Below are 27897 nucleotides of genomic sequence, written 5' to 3'. Positions count from 1 at the left end.
CCTTGCTGAACACTGGCGAGGACTCAGTCTCCAGGAATAGAATCGCGGGGTGGGTAGGGTCGCCTGGAGGTAGCTGGCTCCGCCCGGCCCGCGGGCGAGTCCGGAACACAGTTACCCACCCCTGTTGCCCACCGGAAAGCAAAGGGAGGGGAACAAGCCAGACCGGAAACGGAGGAGAGCGCGGGGGATGTGTTTGGCATGGGGACGCACTGTTACAGTTGCGCTCCTGGTTGGCTTTGTGTTTCCGCGGTGTTGGTAGAGTCTCGGTGTTTCTACCTCTTAGCACCCTTTCCTGCCACCCTTTGTCCTGTGGAAGCCCGGAGACATCAGCGGCTGCAATTTTGCTACTCGCTGCTCGGCATGGAACGGTCAGGTACCGCAGTTCAGCGCTCTTGGCCCCGCAGGTCCTCGGGCATCCCCGTGCCCCGTGCTGTACATTCAGTTATCCTCCGACTTCCCGGGGTCGAAGGTATTACCTGCTGGGTTTTAGAATCTATTGCTTTACATCTGAGAAAAGAAAAATCCCAGAAAGATAAGATGACTTGCCCAAGATCATAGCGTGCCTGGAAAACAGTGCTCCGATTACAAGCTGGTCGCTGTGCCTCATTCGTCTTGTCATCAACTCCTGTCAGTTTATCCAAGCTCCAAAAGCGAAGTTGTTTTAGCTTTTGCTTCCCAAGATTTATTTGATAGTCTCATTTCTGTTTCCTTCGTTTATTCTTTCGTTCATTATTGGAAAACTTTACAGCGTGCCAGTACTGGTCATAAACCCCAAGTAAGACAGTCTTGTCGTCACGGAGGGTGTAGTTCCAGCAAGTAGACAATACAAGTGCTGTGTAGTGAAGTAATTGCTGAGATAGTGTATGGAAGCACAGAGTACACTATTCATGCAACAAGTAATTGCTAGAGGAGCAAATAGGGACACCTAACCATTGCAGGGGCGACTCAGGATATCCTTTCTGGAAGAAAAGTCTGATGAAATCTGAAGGACCACTGGTTGAAATTAGCCAGGAAAGAAAAGATGTTGCAGCATACTTGGTTTTGCTATTTATCCTCCGAGTACTTTATTGTTATGAAAGCCTAATTCCACTGTGTAACTTCCATGCATAACACTCAGAAGCCAGTTTGGTTAAGTACAGTGCTGAAGCAGATTAGTAGCAGTGAAGATGGGAAGGACCAGCTGAATGGAGGAGAAAAATTGCCCAGGTAGAATTAAGGGGATGTGACATCATGGGATAATGGTAGGGTGGTCAGAGAGAGCAAAGATTTCAACTGGCTGCGTTGGAGTTGGTATCCTTAATGTTAGCAGAAGAATGCAGATCCGGGGTTGAGAAAGATTTTTACATATGTTATAGTTTTTAGAAAACAAACAAAAAAAATCTGTTTATGTCAGGGGCATTTTAATATAGAAGTGTGAAAAATGGAAAGTCAGTCTGAAAGGGGACGTCTTGAATGTCGTTTTGAAGGTGTTGCATTTGAAGTACTGATGCGATGCTGTCAGTGGAAACAAACTCAGGTGGGAGGTTAGGTTTAGAATTTTATTATATTAGTGTTATGGAGTTATTTATACATGGTTTTCCTATAATGTAGATTGCTTTCTGTGGTATGATAGCAGTCTTGAAAGAAAACACGGTAGTAAAGATTATATGTGAGATTCATTCCCCTGATTACCACCTTTCTGTAAAAATACCTTTAGTATTAACTATTTATTTAGAGCCGGAGTTTCGCTCTTACTGCCCAGGCTGATCTTGACTCACCGCAACCTCTGCCTCCCATGTTCAAGAGATTCTCCTGCATCAGCCTCCCAAATAGATGGGACTACAGGCATGCACCACCACACCTGGCTAATTTTGTATTTTTAGTGGAGATGGGGTTTCTCCATGTTGGTCAGACTGGTCTCGAACTCCTGACCTCAGGTGATCTGCCCCCCTCAGCCTCCCAAAGTGCTGGGATTACAGGCGTAAGCCACCGTCCCCGGCCAACTTTATTTATTATTATTATTATTATTATTATTATTAATTATTTTTGAGACAGAGTCTTGCTCTGTGTCCCAGGCTGGAGTGCAGTGGCACGATCTCGGCTCACTGCAACCTCTGTCTCCTGGGTTCAAGTGGTTCTTGTCCCTCATCCTCCCGAGTACAGTAGCTATGTTACCTATGTTACTTAATCCTTACAATCTTAAAGGACAGGCACATACCACCATGCTGGGCTCATTTCATGATTTTTAGTGGAAACGGGGTTTCATTATGTTGGCCTGCCTGGTCTCCAACTCCTGACCTCAGGTGTTCCACCCGCCTCAGCCTCCCAAAGTGTTGGGATTACAGGTGTGAGCCACTGCACCCGGCCAATATTAACTTTAAATGTAAAATAATAGATTATTTTCCTAGATTGTACCATATATTGAATATTATGAGAGTCCTTGTGTACTTAGTATGAGGATACTAGTTTGCAATTGTTTTTTCATTCTAATTTAAAAGTGCCTGATTTGATAGCCTCTGACGTTTTCATAAGCAGATCAAATAGTTTGTTTCAGCATTTTTTGAAATTGCATTTTCTCTTTCATGCAACTATCCTTAGCCTGTGGCTACCATTTTCTGGCTTTGAGAACTTGATATGGTATTAACCTAAGGTCGGATACGGCTCTTGAGCTCACCTGCATCAGAAGCACCTGGGTCTAATTTAACATGCTGATCCCTGAACCCCATTCCAAACTTACAAACTAAGAATCTCAGCAATCTGTGTTTTAAGTCGGCTGCCTATGTGATTTGTATAACCTCTAGAGATTCATAACCACTAACTTAACGTCTGTGGGCAGCAGTTTGTTCTGTAAAACGAGAATAATAAAATCTGTGCTTTAAGATTGTAAGGATTAAGTAACATAGGTAACATAGCTACTGTAAAGTGGTCCCCTGACCAGCAGCATTAGCAACACCTGGGAGTTTGTTAGAAATGGAAATTCTCAAGTGTCTCCTGGAAAAAGCTACTGAATCAGAGTAGTTTGGTGGGACCAAAGAATCTGTATTTTAGCAAGCAGCATAGATACTTTCTATGGGCCAGGGACAGTGGCCCAGGCCTGTAATCCCAGCACTTAGGGAGGCCTAGGTGGGTGGTGGGAGTTCTAGGTGGGCAGATCCCAGGAGTTCCTGGGTGATGTGGGGAAACCTGTGTCTACAGAAAATTAGTCCCAACTACTCAGGAGGCTGAAGTGGGAGGATCGCCGGAGCCCGGCGAGGTTGAGGCTGCAGTGAGCCAAGATCATGCCACTGCACTCCAGCCTGTGTGACAGTGTGAGACCCTGTCTCAAAAAAAAAATGATTTCTATGCATATTAAAGTTTGAGAAGCAGTGCTGTAGCACATCAGCTTCATAAAAGTAGGGACTATGAAATTCTTATTTACTAATATATTGTCAGTACCTAGTATAGTGCCCAGCACAGAGTAGATATTCACTATATTTAATGAATGATTTTTTAAATATACCCTCTTACTGAAACCAACACATTCAGAATTTTTAAAGATCTTCAGTAATCAAATACCAAAAGAGATTTTTAACCCCACAGAATAAAATTGGGTATTTGGGTTACTTAGAATTAGGACATCTTTTGCATGAGTCTAATATAGATGTAATCATTTGTGGTGTTCTCTTTCATAAATGTATCTAATGAAGAAAGCAAAAATGACATTTCTAGCCATTGATTATTCTCTTTTCTGTTCCATTTTAGCTTAGCTTACAGGTGGTTATGGGTTAAGTGTAAGTGGCATGTAGCTTGATGAAAATGATGATCAGGTTAACACCCACTCAGTTTTTGAAAGTAAATCTTTTTGATTGATAGAAATTTATTTTCATATTTAATTATAACTTTTTTTTTAAATTGAGACGAATTTTGCACTGTCGCCTGGGCTGGAGTGCGATGGTGTGATCTAGGCTTACTGCAACCTCCGCCTTCCGGGTTCAAGCGATTCTCCTGCCTGAGCCTCCCAAGTAGCTGGGAATTACAGGTGCGTCCCACCACGCTCGGCTCAGTTTTTGTATTTTGAATAGAGACGGGGTTTCACTACGTTGGCCAGGCTGGTCTCAAACTCCTGACCTCGTGATCCACCCGCCTCAGCCTCCCAGAATGTTGGGATCACAGGTGTGAGCCACCGCGCCCGGCCTAATTATAACTTTTTAAAGAGGTGTTATATCATGTTAAGATCAAGGACTTGCAGTCAGTCAGATCTGGATTTGAGAATAATGAATTGTCATTTATTAACCATGTCAGAGTTTTTCTACTGAACTCTGGGGTAAATGGTGGGAAGGAACAGATTTGGGAGCACCAGCACCCCCAGGCCTCCCCTGGCCACCCCAAGGAGCAGGTGATCAATATCTCAGCATACCTCTACTTATTTGTGGCACCCCAGTGTGTCTTAGGCCTTAGTGAGCTGTGAGGTGCATGACCTTAGGTAAGTTACTTCTCTGATTTTCAGTTTCCTTATCTGCAAAATGGAGACCTTAGGGAGTTAATGTGGGTATGAGAAATGTACATAAAACATATTGCACAAGGTGAGGCATGTAGTGTATGCTAATAAATGGTAAGTTGCTGCTGCTATGGTTGTTAACAATAATTATAAAAAGCAAATGGAAAAGGCTTGAATTGAAAAAAATTTAGACACATAGTTTTTTTCCTTATTAGCCTGCACTGTATTTTTCATTTTTTTTAATGCATCTTTCCAGGACAAAAAATAATATCCAAAGATATTTTGGCACTAACAGCGCTATCTGTAGCAAGAAAGTTGAGCAGTGTGAACTGTTGAGACTTCCAAGAAGACTTCAGAGAACCAAGACAGTGTAAAGGAAAACAGGAAAAAAGACTTGTTAGACATTATTAAGGGCACGAAAGTTGAATTGAGCACAGTAAATGTACAAACAACAAAGCCACCCAACAGAAGTCCACTTAAAAGCTACAACTGGCCCGCCTCAAAGAGCTACAGAGCATGCTCCAAAGAAGAGGTAAATTTAATTGTAATTTGAATGTTGTTTGAAACTAATTTTTTTTGTATTGTTTTGTTTTTGTTTTTTGAGACAGAGTCTCGCTTTGTCACCCAAGCTGGAGTGCAGTGGCACCGTCTCGGCTCACTGCAAGCTCCGCCTCCCGGGTTCACGCCATTCTCCTGCCTCAGCCTCCTGAGTAGCTGGGACCACAGGCACATGCTGCCACGCCAGGATAATTTTTTGTATTTTTAGTAGAGACGGGGTTTCACCATGTTAGCCAGGATGGTCTCGATCTCTTGAACTTGTGATCCACCTGCTTTGGCCTCCCAAAGTGCTGGGATTACAGGTGTGAGCCACTATGTCCGGCTGTTTGAAACTAATTTTTGAAACTCCAGTAAGCTTTTTCTTTTGGCAAAAATATTTTTAATACAAGTACTTGGGAGATGTTGAATTAATGAAGAATAAATATCAGCTTGTAAACACAGGGACTCTAATAATTACTTGAGAAATGCTGTTATTGTATTATATTTAAATAACAAGAGGATATCTGCACACAATCCAGTGAAAGGAAAAGAGATCTCATTGAGAATTCCATACTCTTACATATTTATCGGTGTTATTAACTGCCACTTAACTGCCTCTTTAAGCTGTTAATTAACAATATCATTTACATCTTGATTTGAAGGTAGCTTCATGTCTGTAAAGGACTCGCTTATTTGAAATTTTCCATTTTAAAGATTTTTTTTCTGGAATAAAGTTTTAGCATGTTGATTACAACTGCTCTATATAACTTCCTTTGACCAATAACTATCCATGCTTTCAGCTTTCTTGGCTTCCTCAGAGCATTATAATTACTTGTGCTTGTCAAAAGGGTATTATATTTAATTCTAAGTGCAATCAGTGATATCTTGGCATTGTGTTAAATGGCATGTAGGTTAAATGGCAGTATTTTTTTTTTTTAGTGATACATAATGATGTATTTCAGTGATGTCATTAATTGAAGTAGTAAGGTGTGTGGCTTAGGATACCCATCACTGACTTCCCTTATCAGAACAAACAGATTAATATAGGCTTCTGTTTCCCAGAATGGTTTAACATTTTAATGGAACTTCTTGGTTTCTATGTGGTATCAAAAATACCTCTGGAAAGTATAATTGGGTGGTAGAGTAAGCTAATTCAGACAATCGGTACCCATAATAGGTACTTCCTCCTCCTCCTTTAGAAAGAAAACAGTTATATAAGTATATGGAAGTAAATAACACACACAAACATATATAAATACATATCAAGAATGGCATTTTTAAGGCTACCAGACCTGTTTATGACCCCTCATGCCCTTTATTATAATTTAATTAACTATTACAGAAATGGTAAAGTGAGTTGAATGCTTTGGAAAGAGTCGGTAAAGGTCACGTAAACAATTTCTTTCCAGTTAGGCATGAGTGAGACAAATATACATACGCAGGAGCATCATACCCTTAGATCGCTTTGTAAGCTATCTCACATTCTTGCTCCACTTTTCCACTTAAACCAAAATTGAAAATATTGCAGGATAGGTGTGATGTATATACAATATATGTCTTAGAACCTTTTATCAATGGTCCTGTGTTTAAAAAAGAGGCTTTGGTCCTACATCAAAAGACTGGTGAACAAGGTGCATTTGTTTTGAGTTTTTAAAAGGTGTCTTTTAATGATTTTTGCCTCCCCTCCCCGCTTTTCAAGGACTTCCAGGATGCATGGGATTAGATGAGTCATGATCTTTGCTTCATGAGGCACTGTCATCATAGCTTCATGCATAGCCTGCTTTTCTTTCTTTGTATTATATATTAAATCCCCATTGATAAGGTTACCATGGTTACACTACCTCCCAAACTTAGTGGCATAAAACATTCACTCATTACGCTCACAGATTCTGTGGGTTAGCAATTTGGCTGGAACACAGTGGGGAAGGCCAGTCTGTGCTCTCTGATGTCTGGGGCCTCAGTTAGAAGACCTAGAAATCTGAGGCTGGAATTATCTGAAGTTTGCTCACTCATAGGTCTGGCAGTTGATGCCAGCTGTCAGCTGAGACCTTAGCTGAGGGTGTTAGCAGAAACACCTACATGTGGCTTTCTTTGTGGCCTGGGCTTTCTCACCGCATGGTGGCTGGAGGATTTTGATAAGTGGATAAGCCCATGTGACCCAGACACTTAACCAAGACACTGTGTTTCCCATTTTCACATTCCCAATCAGTAGCCTTCTGTCCTGAGGCAATTGCTGTTTTGTTTTTTCACCTCAGATTAGTTTTGCCTGTTCTGGAACTTGATAGAAATGGAATCATACAGAATATATTCCATGTCCAGCTTCTTTCACTTGATCTAATGTCTATGAGAGTCAGTCATGTTGGCATAAGCTGAGTACTCTTCCATTGTTTGGATATCTCACAATTTGTTTTTTCTTTCTAATAATAGACCTTAGGTTGGTTCCAGTTTGGGGCTATTTTGAGTAAAGCTTCTGTGAACAGGTTAAGCTGCCTCAATATTTGCTTGCAATATGTATTGTTTTTGAAATGCAATAGCATCTAGTTGAAAATTCCACTAATTTATAATGTTTGACGCTGATCCCTCATCCCTCCATGTTAATATATTGTTCTGAGTTAACATTTCAAAGTTTATATAAAAGTGATACCTAATAGTTGAGAATTCTTGCTTTTGTCAGAAATTGAATTGAATGATAACTTTTTTGAACAATAGAAAGTCTTCCCCAAAAAATCATTTTACTTTTCACTAAACTACTGGCATAATAAGCAATCTCTCTTTTTTCTTTCTCATTTGGTTTTCATTTTCTTTTTCAGAAATGAGCCCGTGAGTCCTGAGTTGGTGGCAGCTGCATCTGCTGCTCTGTTTTGACAAGCAAACAAGCCAGAACTGCTCAGGCAGCTCCGTAGCATGAGGAAGAGTCAGGGGCACAGAGAGATGGAGAGAGACCTAGTTAGGTAAGTGAATCAAACCATTAGGTTAGTAATGTTTATATCTCAAAATAGGCCATTTTCATGTGGCTAGTAAGTAATACACATAATACAGACCACATAAGTAGAATTTACATATAGAATATAACATATAAGTGGAATTTTAGCAATTCAAGTTTTTAAAAAACATATGTCTTAAGTAAGATACAGTTTTAAGAGACCAATTGAATAGTTACTTTCCTTTTAGGAAGTTACAGTTTCTTGTCCATGAAACAAGAAATGATAAATTCAGTAATGTTATTAAAAATAACAGAATAAGATAGCTTTTCTGAGAAAAGTAATTTTTTTTTCAGTTAAATAGCTTGCTGGTTTTATGCATGGTATAGCAATCTTCAGGTCTGTTTCCTTCTCTTTTTCCTCCTATTCTTATGTTTAAGCTGACATCTTTCCACTTACTCTCTTCATCTCTCATTATTTTATGCTACGTTAGACTCCTTGCTGCCTACATTGTAGTAAGTGGTAACACTGCTTCATTTTGGAGAGTGATCTAAATCTGTTGTTCCCAGTGAGCGTGTGTACCAGATGTATTTCAGGAAGTTGAAAGAAATGGTCATGTGTGATGGCTCATGCCCATAATCCCAGCACAGTGAGGCTGAGGTGAGAGGATCATTTGAGGCCAGGAATTTGAGACCAGTCTGGGCAGCAAAACAAGACCCCATCTTTACAAACCATAAAAAAATTAGCTGGGCATGGTGGCGTGTGCCAGTAGTTCTAGCTACTTTGGGGGCTGAGGCGGGAGGATGGCTTAAGTCCAGAGTTTGAGGCGGCATTGAGTTATGATGGCACCACTGCACTCCAGCCTGAGCGACAGAGACCCTATCTCTGAAAGAAATTGTATTTTTAAAAAAAGAAAAAGATAAGGCCGGGCGCAGTGGCTCACGCTTGTAATCCCAGCACTTTGGGAGGCCAAGGCGGGTGGATCACGAGGTCAGGAGATTGAGACCATCCTAACACGGTGAAACCCCTTCTCTACTAAAAATACAAAAAAATTAGCCAGGTGTGGTGGCAGGCGCCTGTAGTCTCAGCTACTCAGGAGGCTGAGGCAGGAGAATGGCATGAACCCGGGAGGCGGAGCTTGCAGTGAGCTGAGATTGTGCCACTGCACTCCAGCCTGGGCGACAGAGCGAGACTCCACCTCAAAAAAAAAAAAGGAAAACATAGCTATCTGGACTGTCAGTTCAGTGACTCATTTTGTTTGTGTTTGAACAAATACAAGGCAATAAATAAATATGTCTACCTCTTGGTTTTAATTTAGTTATTGAATGTAGGTGATAGGTATACAGATACTGACTGTACTTTCATTTTTTTGGAATAATTTTTCTTTTTTTTTTTTTTTTGAGACGGAGTCTCGCTCTGTTGCCCAGGCTGGGGTGCAGTGTCATGATCTCGGCTCACTGCAAGCTCCACCTCCTGGGTTCACGCCATTCTCCTGCCTCAGCCTCCCCAGTAGCTGGGACTACAGACACCCGCCACCACACCTGGCTAATTTTTTTGTATTTTTAGTAGGGATTGGGTTTCACTGTGTTAGCCAGGATGGTCTCGATCTCCTGACCTTGCAATCCGCCTGTCTCGGCCTCCAAAAGTGCTGGGATTACAGGCGTGAGCCACCACGCCCAGCCCCTTTCGAAATAATTTTTCATGTGACACTTTTATGTTTGAAGTGAAGATTTCTGAAGAACATCTTTAAAAGATGGGTAAGGCTCTGTCTCAAAAAGAAAAAAAGATGGAAGTAAACATAAATACGTAATGTTCTGTGTTTTGTGAATGTTAATAGATGACTTTTTTAAACATAACTTTGTATGCTGTATAATTAGTGCATAGCAATGAAATAAGAATTAAATGATATCACTCTCCTGTTTAAGAAAGTTTATTACTGTTCTGTAGCTAAGGTTTTTTTTTTTTTTTTTTTTGAGACAATGTTTCGCTCTTGTTGCCCAGGCTGGAGTGCAGTGGTGCAATGTCGGCTCACTGCAACTTCCACCTCCTGTGTTCAAGTGATTCTCTGGCCTCAGCCTCTCAAGTAGCTGGGATTACAGGTGCCTGCCATGATGCCCGGCTAATTTTGTACTTTTAGTAGAGATGGGATTTCTCCATGTTGGCCAGGCTGGTCTCGAACTCCCGACCACAGGTGATCCGCCCGCCTTGGCCTCCCAAAGTGCTGGGATTACAGGCGTGAGCCACTGTGCCCGGCTGTAGCTAAGATTTCTAATGCACTTTACCTTTTTATTATTTCAGTTTCAGTAACAAAATATGAGATACGAAAATTGCCAAATGTGCTACAGCTAGAGTTAATATAAGACCAGAGCATCAGATTCAGTTTGACAAAGGCTATGACAATTATCCTGGCTAGGAGAAGACCGCTGATCTTAGAAACAGATATCAGGCTTTGTAGTCTGCTGGGTTTTGTTTGTGTAGTTTGGTTTTACCTTGACAGTAGATTTACCTTATTGCATGTGTGTATTATTGCTGTTGGATATGTGAGCATTATGCATGCATTTACATCTGTGTTCTCACTCTCTGTATACCAATTCCTAGAGAGCGAACCATGTGCTGGATTTAGCCAGTCCTGCATTTTTCTATACTTCAAATCAAAACGGGCCATGCTTCACATCTACCCATGATGAATAGGGGTACTTTGATTAAGAATAAATAGAGCTGACTGAATTCTGAACAAGTGAGTATTTTGTGAGAATCATTATTTTTCATTTTAAATATAAATGTCGGCCGGGTGCGGTGGCTCATGCCTGTTTCCCAGCACTTTGGGAGGCCGAGGTGGGCAGATCACGAGGTCAGGAGATTGAGACCATCCTGGCTAACATGGTGAAACCCTGTCTGTACTAAAAATACAAAAAAAAATTAGCCAGGTGTGGTGGCGGGTGCCTGTAGTCCCAGATACTAGGGAGGCTGAGGCAGAAGAATGGCATGAACCCATGAGGTGGAGGTTGCAGTGAGCCGATTTTGCGCCATTGCACTCCAGCCTGGGCGACAGAGCGAGACTCCGTCTCCAAATAATATTAATAATAATAATTAATAAATAAATAAATATAAATGCCTAATACTGTGTATTCATTTACCCTTTATATCTCTATACATGCTTATCTTTTGTTATATGTTAGAGAAATGACCCACCATCAACAAAAAGAAAGAAAGGCGTAGGCCGGGCATGTTGGCTCACACCCGTAATCCCAGCAATTTGGAGGGCCAAGGCAGGCGGATCACGAGGTCAGGAGTTTGAGACCAGCCTGGCTAACATGGTGAAACCCCATCTCTACTAAAAATATAAAAATTAGCTGGACGTGGTGGCGGGCGCCTACAATCCCAGCTACTCAGGAGGCTGAGTCAGGAGAATTGCTTGAATCCGGGAGGCGGAGGTTGCAGTGAGCCAAGATCGTGCCATTGCACCCTATACCTTAAAATGGTAGATTATTTGTGGCCATTTGAAGTTCTTAAAGATGCTGAGCCATGTCTTACATAGTTATTTTAGAATCTAAAGTTGTTCTGTATTTGCAGAAAGTTTCTATTCTTTCTCTCCTTTTAAATCCTGAAAGTGGTAGTTGGGAAGGAGGAGCCAGATATTTGGCATGGCCGGACAAAAATTAACTTGTCTTTTTTTTTTTTTTTTGACACGGAATCTCACTCTGTCGCCCAGGCTGGACTGCAGTGGTGCCATCTCAGCTCACTGAAACCTCTGCCTCCTGGGTTCTAGTGATTCCCCTGACGGCCGCCCCAGTAGCTGGGATTACAGGGGCACATCACTACACCCAGCTAATTTTTGTATTTTTAGTAGAGACGGGGTTTCACCATGTTGGCCGGGCTGGTAACTCCTGACCTCAAGTGATCCACCCACCTCGGCCTCCCAAAGTGTTTGGATTACAGGCGTGAGCCACCGCACCTGGCCTAACCTGTCTTTATAGCAGGATATGCTCACAATTGGAGTGTTTTCAATAGATTGTGTATTCCGTGGATTTGTTTTTTTTGTTGTTGTTTGTTTGTTTGTTTTTGAGATGGAGTCTCGCTCTGTCGCCCAGGCTGGAGTGCAGTGGCGGGATCTCGGCTCTCTGCAAGCTCCACCTCCTGGGTTCACACCATTCTCCTGCCTCAGCCTCCTGAGTAGCTGGGACTACAGGTGCCCGCCACCACGCCCAGCTAATTTTTTGTATTTTTAGTAGAGATGAGGTTTCACTGTGTTAGCCAGGATGGTCTCGATCTCCTGACCTCGTGATCCACCTGCCTCAGCCTCCCAAAGTGCTGGGATTACAGGCGTGAGCCACCACACCTGGCCTCCGTGGATTTGTTTTAAGTAAAATCAGGCACTTGAGTTAACTCCTGGGTGTTAAATTACTGATTTATACAGGAAAGTTGGAAAAGGTGGTTAGCAGTTAACACACAAAGTTCAATAATTTATGGTGACTTTGGAATATTATTTGAATTACTAATTTAAAGTGATTTCTTATCTGTTACATATTATTGAATAAAGTAGAAAGTGCTCTTGGAGTTTTACTTAAGAATATTTAACTGAGTCAGTTAATACTGGAGAAAATTTAACTGAATCATTCAGCTTGCATATAATACTGTGCAGCTACATCGGGATGGCATATTTGATTTTTAGTATTAGATTTGATATTTAATATTTTAAAAATTAGGTGGCAAAGGAGAAACTAAAAAAGTAGGAAAGGGGTTCCTGTGCCTTCAGTGTGTTAAAAAGCCAGCTAAAGGGGAGTAAGGGGAAGCAATGGTGAGATGCCAAGTTGTTCACCCTGATATGACTTGGGCAGGGTCTGAGGTATCAACCCCAGACAACCCAGGCCTGGACTTATTGCTTCTGTTGGAAATTGACAGTTCACACTGGCCTTTCTCAGAATGTTGGCACTGCCACTGACTAATTCTGTGACCGGGGCACCTTTTATAGCCTTCATCAGCCTGTTTCCCCAGCTGTAAAATGCTGAAAGTGAAACCTAGCTTAAATGGCTTTCTTGAGGAATAGAAAAGAAACCACGTATAAACTATCTGGTACATAGTAGGTGCTCAGCAAATGTCCATTCCCTTTCTCTGTTGTACATTCCTCTTTTGAAGTTCAGTGCTTTACCAAGGCATTTCCTCTCTGCTGTGACTTGCTTTAATCCACCATCCTGTTCACCGGATGTTCGGTTGAGGGAGAAGAATGCAAGGCACTGAGGAAAATTCTGGCATAAAAACCTTTGTTTACAAATAACTTAGGAACCTGCTAGAGGAAAACTTGTATGACTTGAGATCACATTATTTAACGTTCATATGGTATTTGCATTTTTTCCAGTTCTATTTAGTAGAGAAAAGTAACTTAGTCCATAAAAAAAGAATTTGAAATTATTTTTAAAATTAACCCTCCAGTTTATAAACTGGATTTTAATCTGCCAGTAAGTTTATTCAAGTAAATATGTAAATTGATGCATAAAGCATATCAAGTTTGCAAGACAATGTTACTTATTAACTCTGATATTAATTTCAATAGTTAATTAAAAATCGTCATGTAAAGAAAGTTATTTTACAGAATGCTTTATGAAAGGGAATGTTGTGATTTACCTATGCAATCTTTTGTAATTATAATTTGTAATTAAACATTGCAATGTTTTCTGCCCTTAAAAACAAATGTCGACTTCAACAGCTTCTTTTTTGCATAGTTTTATAGTTTTTCACAACATAGAGTTTTTAAAACTTAATATAAAAGGGAACAAATAAAAATTATGGCAAATTGAGCTAATCTTTTCAATTAGATATTTTGGAAATTAAGTTGCTGTAACTGATTTGTTGTATTATGAAGCAAAACTTCAAGTGCACATTTCTGTTTTTAGTCTATCGGTCCTAAAAATGTGGCAATTTAGGTAAGATGTTTGATGTGCGTCAGTGGAATTATTTTGAATTTTTACATAGAATATTTCACTTAAATTTTTTTCTCATAATTTTTGTTGACAGTTTAAAATATATTCATTAAAATATTCTTTTTTTTTTTTTGTCTTAGGAAAAACATATTCAAGGGGAAGAGATGTAATAGTTTTGACGTGACGACAGTTACTAAAGAAGCACCTGAACAGGTTTGTTAAGAATAACTGTTTCTCAGGTGGAGAAATATTCCATCTTTACAAGATGTCCTGAAGGTTTTGATGGTGTAATAGTCGGATATTTTAATATTCCCTCCTGTCATTGGCCTGGATCCGAATGATGAATGTGGCGGTTGTTAGAAGGAAAACTCGGGACTATAACGTCCCCCCAAATTGGGAAGGCATCGAGAGACCAAAGAATAATTTGGGCAAGTCCAGCTTGATGAATAGATGAGTTTACTAGAACTTACCTACTGGACATTTCTGGGCAGCTGTAGAGTCACCCTGCCTCTTATCTCTAAGCTGCTTTTAAGCTTATATTCTGGCTGTTTGCCTACTGTGTGTGCACGATGAGACTGTTTTCCTTGATATGTTTTGAGGTATGCCCTGGGATGTTTGGGTTCTCAGGGACACCTGCTCCTCAGCTAGGCACTGTGGCCTTGGCTCCCTGCCCAGCCTTCAGGGTTCAAGCAACACACATACACAGTAACCTGGTGGGGGACATACCACACTACAGTTGTTGAGATTGCTAGTTGTGGTTCAGTTTCCCTCTTGAAATGTTGCATTCTGTGAGATAATGGGAGGTGAGTATTACCGATTACATGAATCCAGAGGTCCAGATTAGCCCCTAATTTGGGTTAGAACATTATTAATCACCTACCATTTGCAGTGTATCTCTATGCTATTACATAAAGACATACTGGTTCCTGTCCCTAGGCAGCTTGCTATCTAGAAGAGGAGATAGCATTTATAAAATAACTTATTGAAGTGATTTAGTGATTGTTCAGGAGATGGGAAGAACATTCAAGGAATATATTTAAGAGACTTGTGTTTTTTTCTTAACACATGGTTGGTCTTTGTTCTCTGTTCTTCCCCTTTTCTTTGGGTAAGAAATTTACCATTTAAGTCTAAAAGAGAAATGAGTGTCCTCTTGCTTGGCATTAAATTTGGTTTACTAGTAAAATAAATGAAGAAACTCAATACAGATGGTCTCCAGAGTGTAAGTGATGAGCATTTCTAATGAATAGAAGTTAGTTTTTTGGACTTTGATAGAAATAATGTTGTATATGCACTTAGGAGGCTGAGATGACAGGATGGCTTGGGATTAGGAGTTCAAGACCAGCCTGGGCAACATAGTGAGATCCTTTCTGTAAAAAAATAGAAAAAAATTATCTGGGTATGGTGGTGCATGCCTATAGTCCTAGCAACCTGGGAGGTTGAGGTGGGAGGATCACTGGAGCCCAGAATTCAATGCTGCAATGAGCTACAATTGTGCCATAACACTCCAGCCTAAGTGACAGAGTGAGACCCCCCCTCAAAGGAGAAAAAAAAATGTTGTACGTGATAGATAAGTTCCTAGGCCAGCCTCCAATGGCTCATTTAATCTTTCTACCAGTTACTTACATGAACTTCTGATTTTCCCCCTATTTAATAAACTATGTTAGAGGCTAGATCTCATTCATGTCTATATACCCTATAGCATCTACTCATGTGGCTTACAGATCATAGGAACTAGTTATCTTAAATCTTAAATTCTTTTTGAAGAAACTGTAGTATAAAATATACATCTATAAAGGAAAGTAGTGAATTCAATTAACGTTTGTTCGTTAGAACTGAAGGTGAAGCTAAAAGAACAACCCCCTGTATTACAAAAACTGCATTCTGTTGTGTATGATAAAAAGGAAATGCAAAATGCATAGGGACAATGAATCACCTCTCCCCTGCTCAAATGGTATCCGTTAAGTGTGCATCAGAAAGGAATTTTTTGTCAGGGCAGCTGCTGTTGTCCAGCCAAAAGAGATACTTGGATTCCGGAAGAAGCCAGCTTACTTTTTAAAATAAAAAAATCTTATTTCTTAAACTGAAATTAGTTGGCAAGGAGGCATTTAAATTTTATGTATTTTATAAAACAGTATCAAATGATTATATTCTAGTGAGGAAAGTAGCACACAAATTTATGTAATAATTTAATGAAGTTACTGTTTGAATGTGCTGTACTTGCATGAGTCTAAAGAATGTTTTTTGTTTCCATTTAAGTACAAGAATAACAAAATGTGGAAACTTAAATTTAGCAGTTGTTCATTGTTGTTATCTTATATCCCAAACAATGCTGGAAATATAGTTGGCATTCAGTAATTTTTTTATTGACCGATTGATTGAGTTATTCTGTTCCATGATTCCCACGTCTTGTTCCCCACTAAATTCTTACCACTGCTACAAAGGATATTGTCATAGGCCCTACTGGTTATCCGAGAGTTGACAGGCAGTATAGCTCAACAGAAACAGTGTTGGTGTTGTGTAGAACTGGATTCAAATTCCGATTCTGCTGCACTAAGCTTTCCCCACCTATAAAATGGGGGTTAGTACATACATCTCCGGGATTAAATGAGGTCATCTGAGAAAAGTGTGAGGCACAGTGCCTGGAACGTAGTACACATTTAATAAATGTTTGCAACTATTAGCAAGTGTAAAATATGATGATCCTGATGATGATGGAAAAGACATAGGTCGGTCAGTGTCCACCAAATAAAAGATAACTGAGATAGTTATTTTATTGGTGTGATTGCTCTGTAAATGTGGCTAGTTAAGCCTAACAACTGTGATAGTTACCCAGTATCAGATGATCTAGGTGAAAATACTTAATTTCTGCCAGTCAGTGTGTGATTAGACACATTTCTGCACATAAAGGCTCACAGAAACCCATTCAGAAAAAGCAAATAGATAAAATAAGGCTTACCCAGGTAGAAGAGTAAATGAGCTATTTGTTGACATGCTTTAGGGGGCTTGACAAAAGTGTGTAAACAGGTAGGCTGGAGGATAAATCATATGCAGTCTATGCCTCTAGCCCAGAAAGGTCAAAAATGTTTGAAAAAATAATTAAGGTCCAAAAATACAGGGAAAAAAGTAGCCAAGGGATAGATATTGATATTCATTTTCCTTTTACAACTTTATTAAGGTGTAATTTGTGTGCAACAAACTGCACACATTTGAAGTATATAACTCGACTAGTTTTGACAAATAGATACACCCACGAAACTCCCACTTATAAATCTGAACATTTTCATGACCCTTAAAAGTTTCCTTATGTCCTTTAGCCTGACACACCCACACATACACACACACACACAAAATGCAGGCAACCTTTGATCTGCTTTCTGTTAAAATAGATTAGGTTGCATCTCTTAGAATTGTACATAAATGAAATCACACAGTATGTACTCTTTTGCATCTGGCTTCTTTCACTCAGCTAATGATTTGAGATTCATCCATGTTGTTCCATGTACTAATAATGCATTTTTATTACTGAATAGTATACAGTTGTATGGCTGTATTACTTTTTTTTTTTTTTTTTTAGACGGAGTCTCGCTCTGTAGCTCAGGCTGAAGTGCAGTGGCGCGATCTCGGTTCACTGCAACCTCCACCTCCTGGGTCCTGGTTGAAGCATTTCTCCTGCCTCAGCCTCCCGAATAGCTGGGCTTACAGGCACACACCACCATGCCCATCTAATTTTTGTATTTCTAGTAGAGATGGGGTTTCACCATGTTGGCCAGGCTGTTCTTGAACTCCTGACCTCATGATCCGCCTGCCTTGGCCTCCCAAAGTGCTGGGATTACAGCTGCGAGCCACCGCGCCTGGCCAATGTATTACATTTTTGTACCTATTCACCTGTTAGTGGACATTTGGATTGTTTCCCAAATTACACCCCACATTTGGCTATTACAAAGAAAGCTGCCATGAACTTTCGTGTACAAGTCTTTGTGTGGACATGTATTATCTCTTGGGTAAATATCCAGGAATGAAATAGCTATGATGAATAATAGATGTATTTTTAACTTTTTAAGAAGCCATCAAGCTGTTTTCCAAGATGTTTGTACCATTTTACGTTCCCAGCAGCAGTAACTGGTGGGAATATGGCTCATTCTCAAAAGATGATCTGAAATTTCAAAAGTAAAAAAGTTACTGAAACTTGTAATATGATGGTGGTAATTAGCCAACTCATAGGGTTGGTTCTGAGGATTAAATGTACTAATGCATAAAAAACATTTAAGCACAGAGGAAGTACTCAGTGTTCATTAGCAGTTTTATTGTTATTCTGTTGATCTAACTTCTTTGGTTGTTAACAGTAGTACATTAGTGACTAATTTTGATAGAGTTAAAATAAACAGCCTAGAGTTTAAAAATAAGTCACATATTATATAAAAAATATTCATATTCATAAAAATACCTTTAAACAAAATACAAATTTATTTTTTTTTCCAGTAGAAGGGGCAGTGATTACCTGGCATTGTTGTAAAACCAAAGTTAAGCTTGCCATTATTGTAGTTATAGTCTTTATTTATTTATTTATTTTTTGAGACAGAGTCTGGCTCTGTCACCCAGGTCGGAATGCAGTGGCCCGATCTTGGCTTACTGCAACCTCCACCTCCGGGGTTCAAGCAGTTCTCCTGCCTCAGCCTCCCAAGTAGCTATGATTATAGGCATGCACCACCGTACCCAGCTAATTTTTTGTATTTTTAGTAGAGATGAGGTTTCACCATGTTGGTCAGGCTGGTATTGAACTCCTGACCTTAGGTGATCTCCCCTCCTTGGCCTCCCAAAGTGCTGGGATTACAGGCGTGAGCCTAGTTATAGTCTTTAACATAATTTTTGTTGCAGTTAAATCTCAGTGATACAACTTTCTATTATATACTGTAATTATGAGTGTCAAGGTATGAAAAATACACAATTCAGAATTGGTTATAACATTTTTTAAAAAGATGTTTACACTGACTTGTTCTTATTTAAAATGCCTTATACAGACACATCACCTTCACTTTGGGATGTGGAATTTGCTAAATAAGCCACAGAAAATGAACATCCCTTCAGAATGGGTTTGAAGAGCTGATCCAGTGGATTAAAGAGGGGAAACTGGGAGTTTCCAATTAACAATGAAGCAGGTAAGTGTTAATTTCAGGGGTTTATAAAATTCATTGACTGAGATTATTTCTGCCAGATATTCACTTTTAGAGTGTAGATACTTAGATGAATTTCAAAACACTGGGTAGATATCTTCACGGTGTCCTAAAGACAGTAAGTTGCAGCAGAATGCATGCAATATAACAGAATTTTATAAAATTCAAAAACCAAATTTTGAATATACTTTCTTAGCTCTAAAGGTGATAAAAGTATAGAGAAAATGATCAACATTTCAGGAAGGCAGGGTAATTGAGTAGGGACACCCGGGGGCTTCGACAGTATTATCATTCTGTTCCTCAAGTTGGACGGCAGGTTCACAGGTGGTCATTTCATCATGCTTTTATGTTATTATATGTTGTATATATTATGCTATATGTTAGCTATATTATAATTATACATTATGTTTTGTTTGTAACAGTGTTTCATAATATTTTAAGGAATGAATGGAAATGGGCACATAACGAAGATATGCAGTGCCTAGCCATCAGTAGAGTCCCAGCATTATCACATTCCGAGATAATTCCTATACAAAAACAGCAAACAAAGGGCATGTTATCTAGAATGCAAAGCCCATCCATATTATAATAAACTGAGACAATCAAATAGGGAATCCTTCTTTTAAGGATGGCATTTTTTATATGCTTGGAAGTGTTTTGAAGCAGAAATTGGTTTTGAATAAATCTACTGCTCCTTATTAATAGGAACGTATAAGCTTGCTTTTAATGTCACTATTATCCCTGCCAAGAAATTAAAAATCCTGGAGGTAATATTGCTTATGAACTCACTTACTTATTAATGACAGGTGCATTTACCCTCTTAAGGGATGACCATGGGTATTTTAAAAGATAAGAAATTTGCTGAGAATTCCTTAAATTTTTCTAATTTTCACTTGCCAGTGAGGTCATTGTCCCTTTTTTGCAGGTAGCTTTGAAAGATGATGATATCTCCACAGCTGAGACCATGTTGTTAAAACATCCTTCATTTAACCATTTACACATTTGGTTCTAAAGTTCTTGGTTCTAAAGAATGTGTTATCTTGAGATTCTTGTCTTATTACTATTCTTAAAATTGCTCTAAAACTTGCTGAGGTAATCAGCTTTAAATTCTGTAAATACAGATAACAAAACCCTCTTAATCCTAAAGGTGCTTTTAAAGTTCATGTATTTATACATGTATGCAAGTTGCCTGTTAAACTGGGAAGATTTTATTCTAAGTAACCAAATCTTAAGGAGCTAAAGCAAACCTGTTTTATAAAATATATTAATTCCAGGACTAAGCAATTTCTGAAAACAGACTGATTTACTGTGCTGCTTAATATTTCCTCAAACTAGAATACAAGCGACGGTGGCAGAGGGAGGAAGTAACTCATACTAGGAGGAACAAACAGCTGCTGGAATATGCTTGTGGTTTAGAGCTTCTTTTAAAAATCCTGTCAGCTGCAAAACAAAGGAAAGACTAATATTTTCCACGATGTCAGTAACATCTATGAAGATGCTCCTTTTGAATGTGGTACAGAAAGTTGGAAAACACTTAGGCATGGTATCTGGCATAGTGCCCCTTAGGGAGCACTTCACATACAGACGGTCCGGGGCTTAGGAAGGTTTGACTCAGAATTTTTTGACTTTATGATGGTTCCATAGGCGATGCACATTCAGTAGAAACCGAACTTTGAGTCCCCATACACCTATCCTGTTTTTCACGTTCAGGACATTATTCCCATAAATTACATGAGCTATTCAACCCTTTATAATAAAACAGGATTTGTGTTAGATGATTTTGCCCAAATGTAAGTTAATGTAAGTGTTCTGAGTACGTTTCTAAGCTCTGATGCTCAGTAGGTTAGGTGTATTAAAGACATTTTGACTTACGATATCTTCCCCTCCCAATAAACCCATTGTAAGTCAAGAAGCACCTGTAGAGGTCTGCCTTTACCAATTTCAGCTGTGACAAATTTAATGTTCCTGTATTGCTTTTAAATTGGAGAGCAGCAGCAGGTCTGAAACAAATACTGCAGTTAGCTTTGTGTTCTTCACTATTTATTGAACAGTTCAGAGGGCAAGGAAACAAAGAGAAGCGCTCTGAGTGTGTCTTTGCTTGCCAGCTCTTGAATTGTTAACAGTTCTATACTGGCCTTCCTGTATTTTTCTCTCGTTTTTTCTGTTCTCTTCTCTTTTTGACTCTGTCTCAAAAAAATCAAGTAAAAATATCCCTTGGGAATACATAATGTTCATATATGGAAACCCTCAATGCCTTTCTTGCTACCTGTAGGGTAAACTCCAAAATCCTTAGCTTAGCATTCAGATTCCTCCATCAAACTGGGTTCCTAGGCCAGCTATTTCAGAGTTAATGTTACTCTTTTTCTGGGGGATAGTGTCTTGCTCTGTCACCCAGTCTGGAGTGCAGTGGCACAATCATGGCTCGCTGCAACTACCTCCTCCCAGGGTCCAAGCAGTCCTCTCACCTCACCCTCCCGAGTTGCTGGGACCACAGGCCTGCACCATGCCTGGCTAATTGGTTTTTGTATTTTTTGTAGGTTTTCCCCATGTTGCCCAGTCTGGTCTCCAACTCCTGGGCTCAAGGGATCCACCCCTTCTTGGCCTCCCAAAGTGCTGGGATTACAGGCGTGAGCCATTGCACCCAGCTGATGTAAATTCTTTGGTTCCACCCCACCACCATGTCTGATTAATTTTTGTATTTTTAGTAGAGACATAGAGTTTCACCATGTTGGCCAGGCTAGTCTCGAACTCCTGACCTCAGGTGATCCACCTGCCTCGGCCTCCCAAATTGCTGGGATTATAGGCGTGAGCCACTGCCCCCAGCCCAGAAAACATTAGTTTTTAAGAGGCAACAGAATGGTAAGCTGAAAGTCCTGGTTATTATTGTCAGGGGCCACAGAGAGATCAAGTCAGATAGGAATCAGTTGGATTTGATAAGGGGTTACTAGTGGCTTTGAGAAGATTAAGACTAGAGAGGCAAATATTTTTATATTTTGTGGCAAAGGAGATGCAGTCAAAGTAGAGATTGGGGAAAAGGTTGAAGAAAGTCTGCAAGGAGAAAAATCATCCATTGACTGCTTACTGCATGCCAGGTAGAGATCTAAATAAGCCCCAAACCATGGAGTGATCTTCAGTTTCTCTTATCCCACACGTTCACCCATTAGCAAGTCTTGCTGGTTCTAATATATTCCAGCTTATTGTATTTCTCTTCATCACCTCTGTGGCTAACAGCCTTTTCTAGCCTAGATTTAATGTAGTAGTTTCCTAAGAAGTCTCTGTTTCCAGTGCTGATTTGTTATAATGTATTCACCATACAGCAACCAGAATGACATTTTTAAAAAGTAAATTGGACCATGTCTCTCTCCTACTAACAATGACCTTTCCATGGGTTTCCATCACACCTAAGGTCCAAATTCCTTGTAACAGCCTGCAAGGTACAAAGTGAGGCCCTTGAAGTAGCATCTTACAGCTTCTTTGCTCTCTTAGTTTGAGCCACACTTTCTGTTGATTGACTGTAACCCCATGTGAGTTGAGGGGCATCTGTATTCATTGCTTTGTGAGAATTAAACTAGGTTAAAGCTAAGTCAGTGACACATGCGGCTATTGAAATAATTTTACCATTTAAGAAAACTACCAAATCCCCAGAGTTTGTAGGCAGCTGGCAGAAAATAAAAGTGTTCCTGTACTTGCCCTTGATCTCCCTAATTGTGTAATCTCTTACATCATTATTTTTCCAGCTACCACACCTATATGTTGTGACTGCACAGGGTAAAAAAGTCTTAATCTCTCTAATGTTAACTCTTGATCAGTTGCCATAGCCATCTATGAGATTGTATCTGGGCTTTGAACAGAATGTTTAATTGCATTTTATTAGAGTTGTGTGCTATTGATAGAGGATAAGAGAGGGCCAGGTAAGCTTGATGGTGTATGTATTGATTGTCTTAACCTCCCTGAGCTCTAGATTTAACTTTTAGTCTTTTTTTTTTTGGACAGCTTCACATTTTCTAGGAATCTCAAATTCTATATGGAGTTTGAATCTTCTCCAAATTAGAAGGAGAAAATCTGTAATAGTCAATGTATATCAGTTAAACTCTTCAGAATATGTGAGATGATAATAATGACCATTTATTGAGTTCTATAGGCCAGGAACTAAATGCTTTACAGTACAGAGATACTATGTTAGATTGTCTACTTTTGGGAGGAGGGGCAGGAGAAGGGGAGATTTTCTTATGAGGAAAAACTCCAAGATTACATCCCTGTTATCTTTCCTCCAAATAGTTTCTGATAATAAGTTATTTGATTAAAAATTGTTTTAATTAGAATTTCATGGCTTTTTACAAACTGTTACTGACACTCCACATGTTTGTTTTTGTAGGAGCTGACTAAGGCTTTGGAACAGAAACCAGATGATGCACAATATTATTGTCAAAGAGCTTATTGTCACATTCTTCTTGGGAGTTACTATGGTAATTTTTCTTCCAAAGTATATTGTCCCTTTTTAATAAGTTACTTATACATTTTACCCATGACAAATTAGTCAAATAAAATAAAGGTTGTCTTTGAGGATTTTTAAATTGGTCTTTCATACAAGGTACAGTATCTCAAGTGTGACAGACATGTTGAGCAACACCTATTAAATTTTATGGATGTCTCATTTTCCTTCAGTGGGTGGAGAATGTATATAGATTTCATTCATAGTTATTGGGTAGGCTGATAAAGAATAGTATCATATTTACTATTTGACAGAGTATTAAAATGAAATGCTCTTCTTTGTATTTTTTATAAAAACGAATGTGGCCAGGCATGGTGGCTTATGCCTGTAATCCCAGCACTTTGGGAGACCAAAGCTGGAGGATCACATGAGCCCAAGAGTTCGAGTCCAGCCTGGACAACATAGCAAGACCCTATCTATATTAAAAAGTAATGTATTTCTGTATTGTGTAACTTTAAAAAGTTATTCTGATGAAGAATCTGGATAGGGAAAAACTGAATATCTTTTTTTTTTAGACGGAGTTTCGCTCTTGTTGCCTAGGCTGGAGTGCAGTGGCTTGATCTCAGCTCACTGCAGCCTTCGCCTCCCAGGTTCAAGGGATTCTCCTGCCTCAGCCTCCCAGGTAGCTGGGACCACAGGCACGTGCCACCATGCCTGGCTAATTTTGTATTTTTAGCAGAGACGGAGTTTCACCATGTTGGCCAGGCTGGTCTCAAACTCCTGACCACAGGTGATCCACCCTCCTCGGCCTCCCAAAATGCTGGGATTACAGGTGTGAGCCACTGCACCCGGCCAAATTATATAGATTATGCTAATGAGAAAAGGAGATGAATTTTGTGACACAGCTTTATTCATTGACTGAAGAGCTTTAAGAATGAAGCTAAATGTTAAGCCAAAAGGAAGGTACAAGAGTATTATTTATTTGAATTCTGTCTTGGATTAGCTTTTCCTAATTTAAAACCGTTTGGTGTTTCTATCAACTCGAAAACTTAGAAATCTAAAACTGATTCATATTCTTTGTGTATTTGCTAGGATCTGTAAATAACTGACGAAAAACCCATCTGTTTCTACGTAGTTGCTGTTGCCGACACAAAGAAGTCTTATGAACTCAATCCAAATAATTCCACTGCTATGCTGAGAAAAGGGTATTCAATAGCTACTTTTTTGTTGAGCTTGGACTGTAAATAGTAGATGTTTAATTTGTTGAATGAGTTCATTGTAAGCTTTATAAGTAGTAAAATTCTATATTTATACATTTTATAGCAGAGATATGATTCAATTTTAAATACAAAGTTATAGTTCTATTATTTTGTTAGCCATAGTATGTGATAGGAGATCTATACTTAACATATTTTAAAATAGTGATGATTGAAATAACTGCAAGGTATAGATGAAACTGAAGGATTTCACATTCCTTTTTTGTTTATCATTTGGAATTTACTGTATTTAACTGACTAGAGAACATCCTATCCTTCAACCAAGCTGAATAGGCCGCATTTAATGCTATGAAAGCTCTATATCTGTGTGCTTTATATCCCATCTTGTTTCTAAGTGTAACTTTATTCTTTAAGTAAGAAACTTCTTTAATTCCTTTGTATAATTATATTTTGGAATAAGCAAGTATGTACAATTAAAGTGAAATTCCTTCTGAAGCAAGTTCTAAAATTAAATTTTACTGGAAATTGTACTAGATGTTAACAGTATTTTAGAAAGTCTCTTGGCTTACTAACATATACTTAAAATAAATTTTTTCTTTCAACAATAGAAAATACTAAGATGTTTTTATTTAGAACTGCCTAAATGCCTTTCTTTTTTTTCTTTTTTTAGGGGCTGGCGGCATGGAGTCTTGCTCTGTCACCCATCCTCGAGTGCAATGGCACCATCTTAGTTCACTGCAGCCTTGAATTCCAGGGCTCGAGCCATCCTTCTGCCTCTGCCTCCTGAGTAGGTGGGACTACAGGCATGTGCCACCATACTGAGCTAATTTGTTAAACACTTTTTTTGTAGAGACGAGGTCTTGCTACGTTTCCCAGACTGGTCTCTGAACTCCCGGCCTCAAGTGATCCTACTGCCTTGGCCTCCCAAAGTACTGGCATAATAGACATGAGCCACTGCACCTGGCTCCTAAGTTCTTTTCTTGAATAATATCTTTCTTTTTTTTTATTTTTTGAGGTGGAGTCTCACCCTGTTGCCCAGGCTGGAGTGCAATGGCGTGATCTCGGCTCACTGCAACTTCTACCTCCCGGGTTCAAGTGATTCTCCTGCCTCAGCCTCCTGAATAGCTAGGATTACAGGCGTGCGCTACCACGCCTGGCTAATTTTTTGTGTCTTTAGTAGAGATGCGGTTTCACCATGTTGGCCAGGCTTGTCTCGAACTCTTGACCTCGTGATCCACCCGCCTTGGCCTCCCAAAGTGTTGGGATTACAGGCGTGAGCCACCACGCCTGGCCAAGTAATATCTTAATATCATGCCATTGACATTTATCCTCTAATTATTTCAGAGGTGGCCTTCAGAAGAAGGCCTCTTTGGTAAAATTGCTATTGAGGATATTTCACTGAAAAACAAATTTATCTTTAAATTTAAATCCAGGAAAAATTTAAACTTTCAGGCTTCTATTTTTATCAGACAGGGTAAAAAATTTATAACTCAGAATATTACCCTTTCCCCTCTTTGTGTGATGGATTGCTTGGTTTTAGTTACTGATTATTTAAAATAATAAGTTATTCAAATCTAGGATTTTGATACAATAGTTCTTCTCTAGAATATAGTGTGTGTGTGAGAGTATATTTAAAATTTTTATTAAGGCCCATGGGGCAGCCTTTGAGGAAACCAGACCTTGGGGATCGCCAGGCAGGATTAGTGGCAGGAATTGAGAGAACAGAGCCCCACAGAGCTCCTCGGGGACCGTCCCCCAGTCACAAGAGTATCTCAAGGAAGTAGTCTTCTCCCACATCCCCCAAAGATAACTACCAGAGGGTCAGTTCTCTGAGCCCTTCTCAGTGTAGAAAAGACAAGTGTCAAAGCTTCCCCACTCACCCTGAGTTTGCCTTCTATGACAATACGTCGTTTGGCCTCACTGAGGCTGAGCAGAGGATGCTGGACCTCCCAGGATATTTTGGGTCAAATGAAGAGGATGAAACCACAAGTACACTTAGCGTGGAGAAGCTGGTGATCTAGACTGAGAATCAGCCTGAGCTTAACACAGCTGGGGTCTGCTACTCGCGTTTTGTAGACTTTTGTGTAACTATTTGTACCGTAGGACAGAATGTGAGGAGGAAGTAACACACACAGAGGAGGATGTGTGTGTGTGCATGTGTTTGAATTCACAAGGAAGAAATTATTTATCTTGAGCTTTTTCCTTTGTTATTCAGTTTTTATTGGTTTATTACTAATAATGATAATAAAATGTAAACAAGAGCAAATGTGGCTTGGTCTGTCATGTGGCTATGAAAGTTAAGATGTGACTTTTGAGTAGAACATGCTCTGAACATTGCATTGGCAGTTTCCAACCTGAAGCAGAAATCTGAAACCTCAACTAAAAAGGGATGGAGCAAAGTTAACTTGGTGTCATAACTCTGAATTGCAATTTATTAAGTTATAAATACATTAAGAATTTGACTCCTACAATGGCAGCATCAAACAGATTTCATATTTGACTGATTAAGTTAACTATGACCATTAGACTGCTGAGCTACTTAGAAATGGTGATACCACAGATATTCAAGAAGAACTTTCAGATGAGAGTTGAGTCCAGGTGACGACAAAATTATAAGACTTCTGCTTTAAAGAGATAATGTAAGAAGCTGGTGGTTTAGGTAGTGAGTCAAATGAAGACCTATCTGTTCTGAGCAAATAAATAGTAAACATTTTGGAAAGGACAGTATTGTCTTCTGAGGAAATGGGCAGTAGGTACTGACCATGCCACTACCTGGGACCAGGATGCTGATTACGTGTTCCTGGACCAAACTGGCAGCAGAGACCTCAGCGGGGGAACTGGTGCATGTATGTTGTTCTTAAACATAACTTTTATTATGTTGTTCAGAAAATGCATTAATTAACTTTAGGTATATATAAAACAGGGAGAACAGTTTAGAATTTTACAGTTTAAGCTTTTTTTTTTGAGATTGTGTCTTGCTCTGTCGCCAGGCTGGAGTGCAGTGGCACGATCTCAGCTCACTGCAACCTCCACCTCCTGGGTTCAAGAGATTCTTCTGCCTCAGCCTCCCGAGTAGCTGGGCTACAGGCACATGCCCACCATGCCTGGCTAATTTTTGTATTTTTAGTAGAAACAGGGTTTCACCATATTGTCCAGGATGGTCTCGAGCTCCTGACCTCGTGATCCACCCACCTTGGCCTCCCAAAGTGTAGGGATTACAGGCATCAGTTACAGTGCACAGCGAA

At 39.6% G+C, this 27897-nt stretch overlaps 2 pseudogenes across 4 annotated transcripts, besides 2 other annotated features; both read left to right on the top strand.

Moving 5' to 3' along the window:
• Positions 1 to 270: an enhancer, noted in NCBI's record as "active region_7787". NCBI's record gives its function as "activates an Ori minimal core promoter by ATAC-STARR-seq in GM12878 lymphoblastoid cells {active_cell/tissue: GM12878}" and the evidence as "EXISTENCE:reporter gene assay evidence [ECO:0000049][PMID:35858748]".
• MRPS31P5 (mitochondrial ribosomal protein S31 pseudogene 5) lies at positions 160 to 26918 on the top strand (annotated as a pseudogene). Of its 4 annotated transcripts, none has more exons than NR_051963.1 (9): positions 160 to 373; positions 4713 to 4988; positions 7804 to 7944; positions 10513 to 10651; positions 13973 to 14045; positions 18851 to 18988; positions 23379 to 23469; positions 24528 to 24640; positions 25323 to 26918. The product of NR_051963.1 is annotated as a mitochondrial ribosomal protein S31 pseudogene 5, transcript variant 2 (transcript). The 4 variants fall into 4 exon arrangements; NR_002816.2 differs by having other exon boundaries at positions 160 to 775; positions 4400 to 4988; NR_051965.1 differs by lacking the exon at positions 4713 to 4988 and having other exon boundaries at positions 24571 to 24640.
• Positions 4038 to 4539: an enhancer, noted in NCBI's record as "H3K4me1 hESC enhancer chr13:52764223-52764724 (GRCh37/hg19 assembly coordinates)". NCBI's record gives its function as "activates a minimal SCP1, AML or CMV promoter by ChIP-STARR-seq in naive H9 embryonic stem cells {active_cell/tissue: H9 hESC(naive)}" and the evidence as "EXISTENCE:reporter gene assay evidence [ECO:0000049][PMID:30033119]".
• On the top strand, positions 26306 to 26918 carry THSD1P1 (thrombospondin type 1 domain containing 1 pseudogene 1; annotated as a pseudogene).

This window comes from Homo sapiens, chromosome 13 (assembly GCF_000001405.40).
Source record: "Homo sapiens chromosome 13, GRCh38.p14 Primary Assembly".
In the NCBI taxonomy this organism is placed as follows: domain Eukaryota; kingdom Metazoa; phylum Chordata; class Mammalia; order Primates; family Hominidae; genus Homo; species Homo sapiens.
Note: the sequence above shows the minus strand (reverse complement) of the source record. Positions and strands in the feature narration are given on the sequence as shown.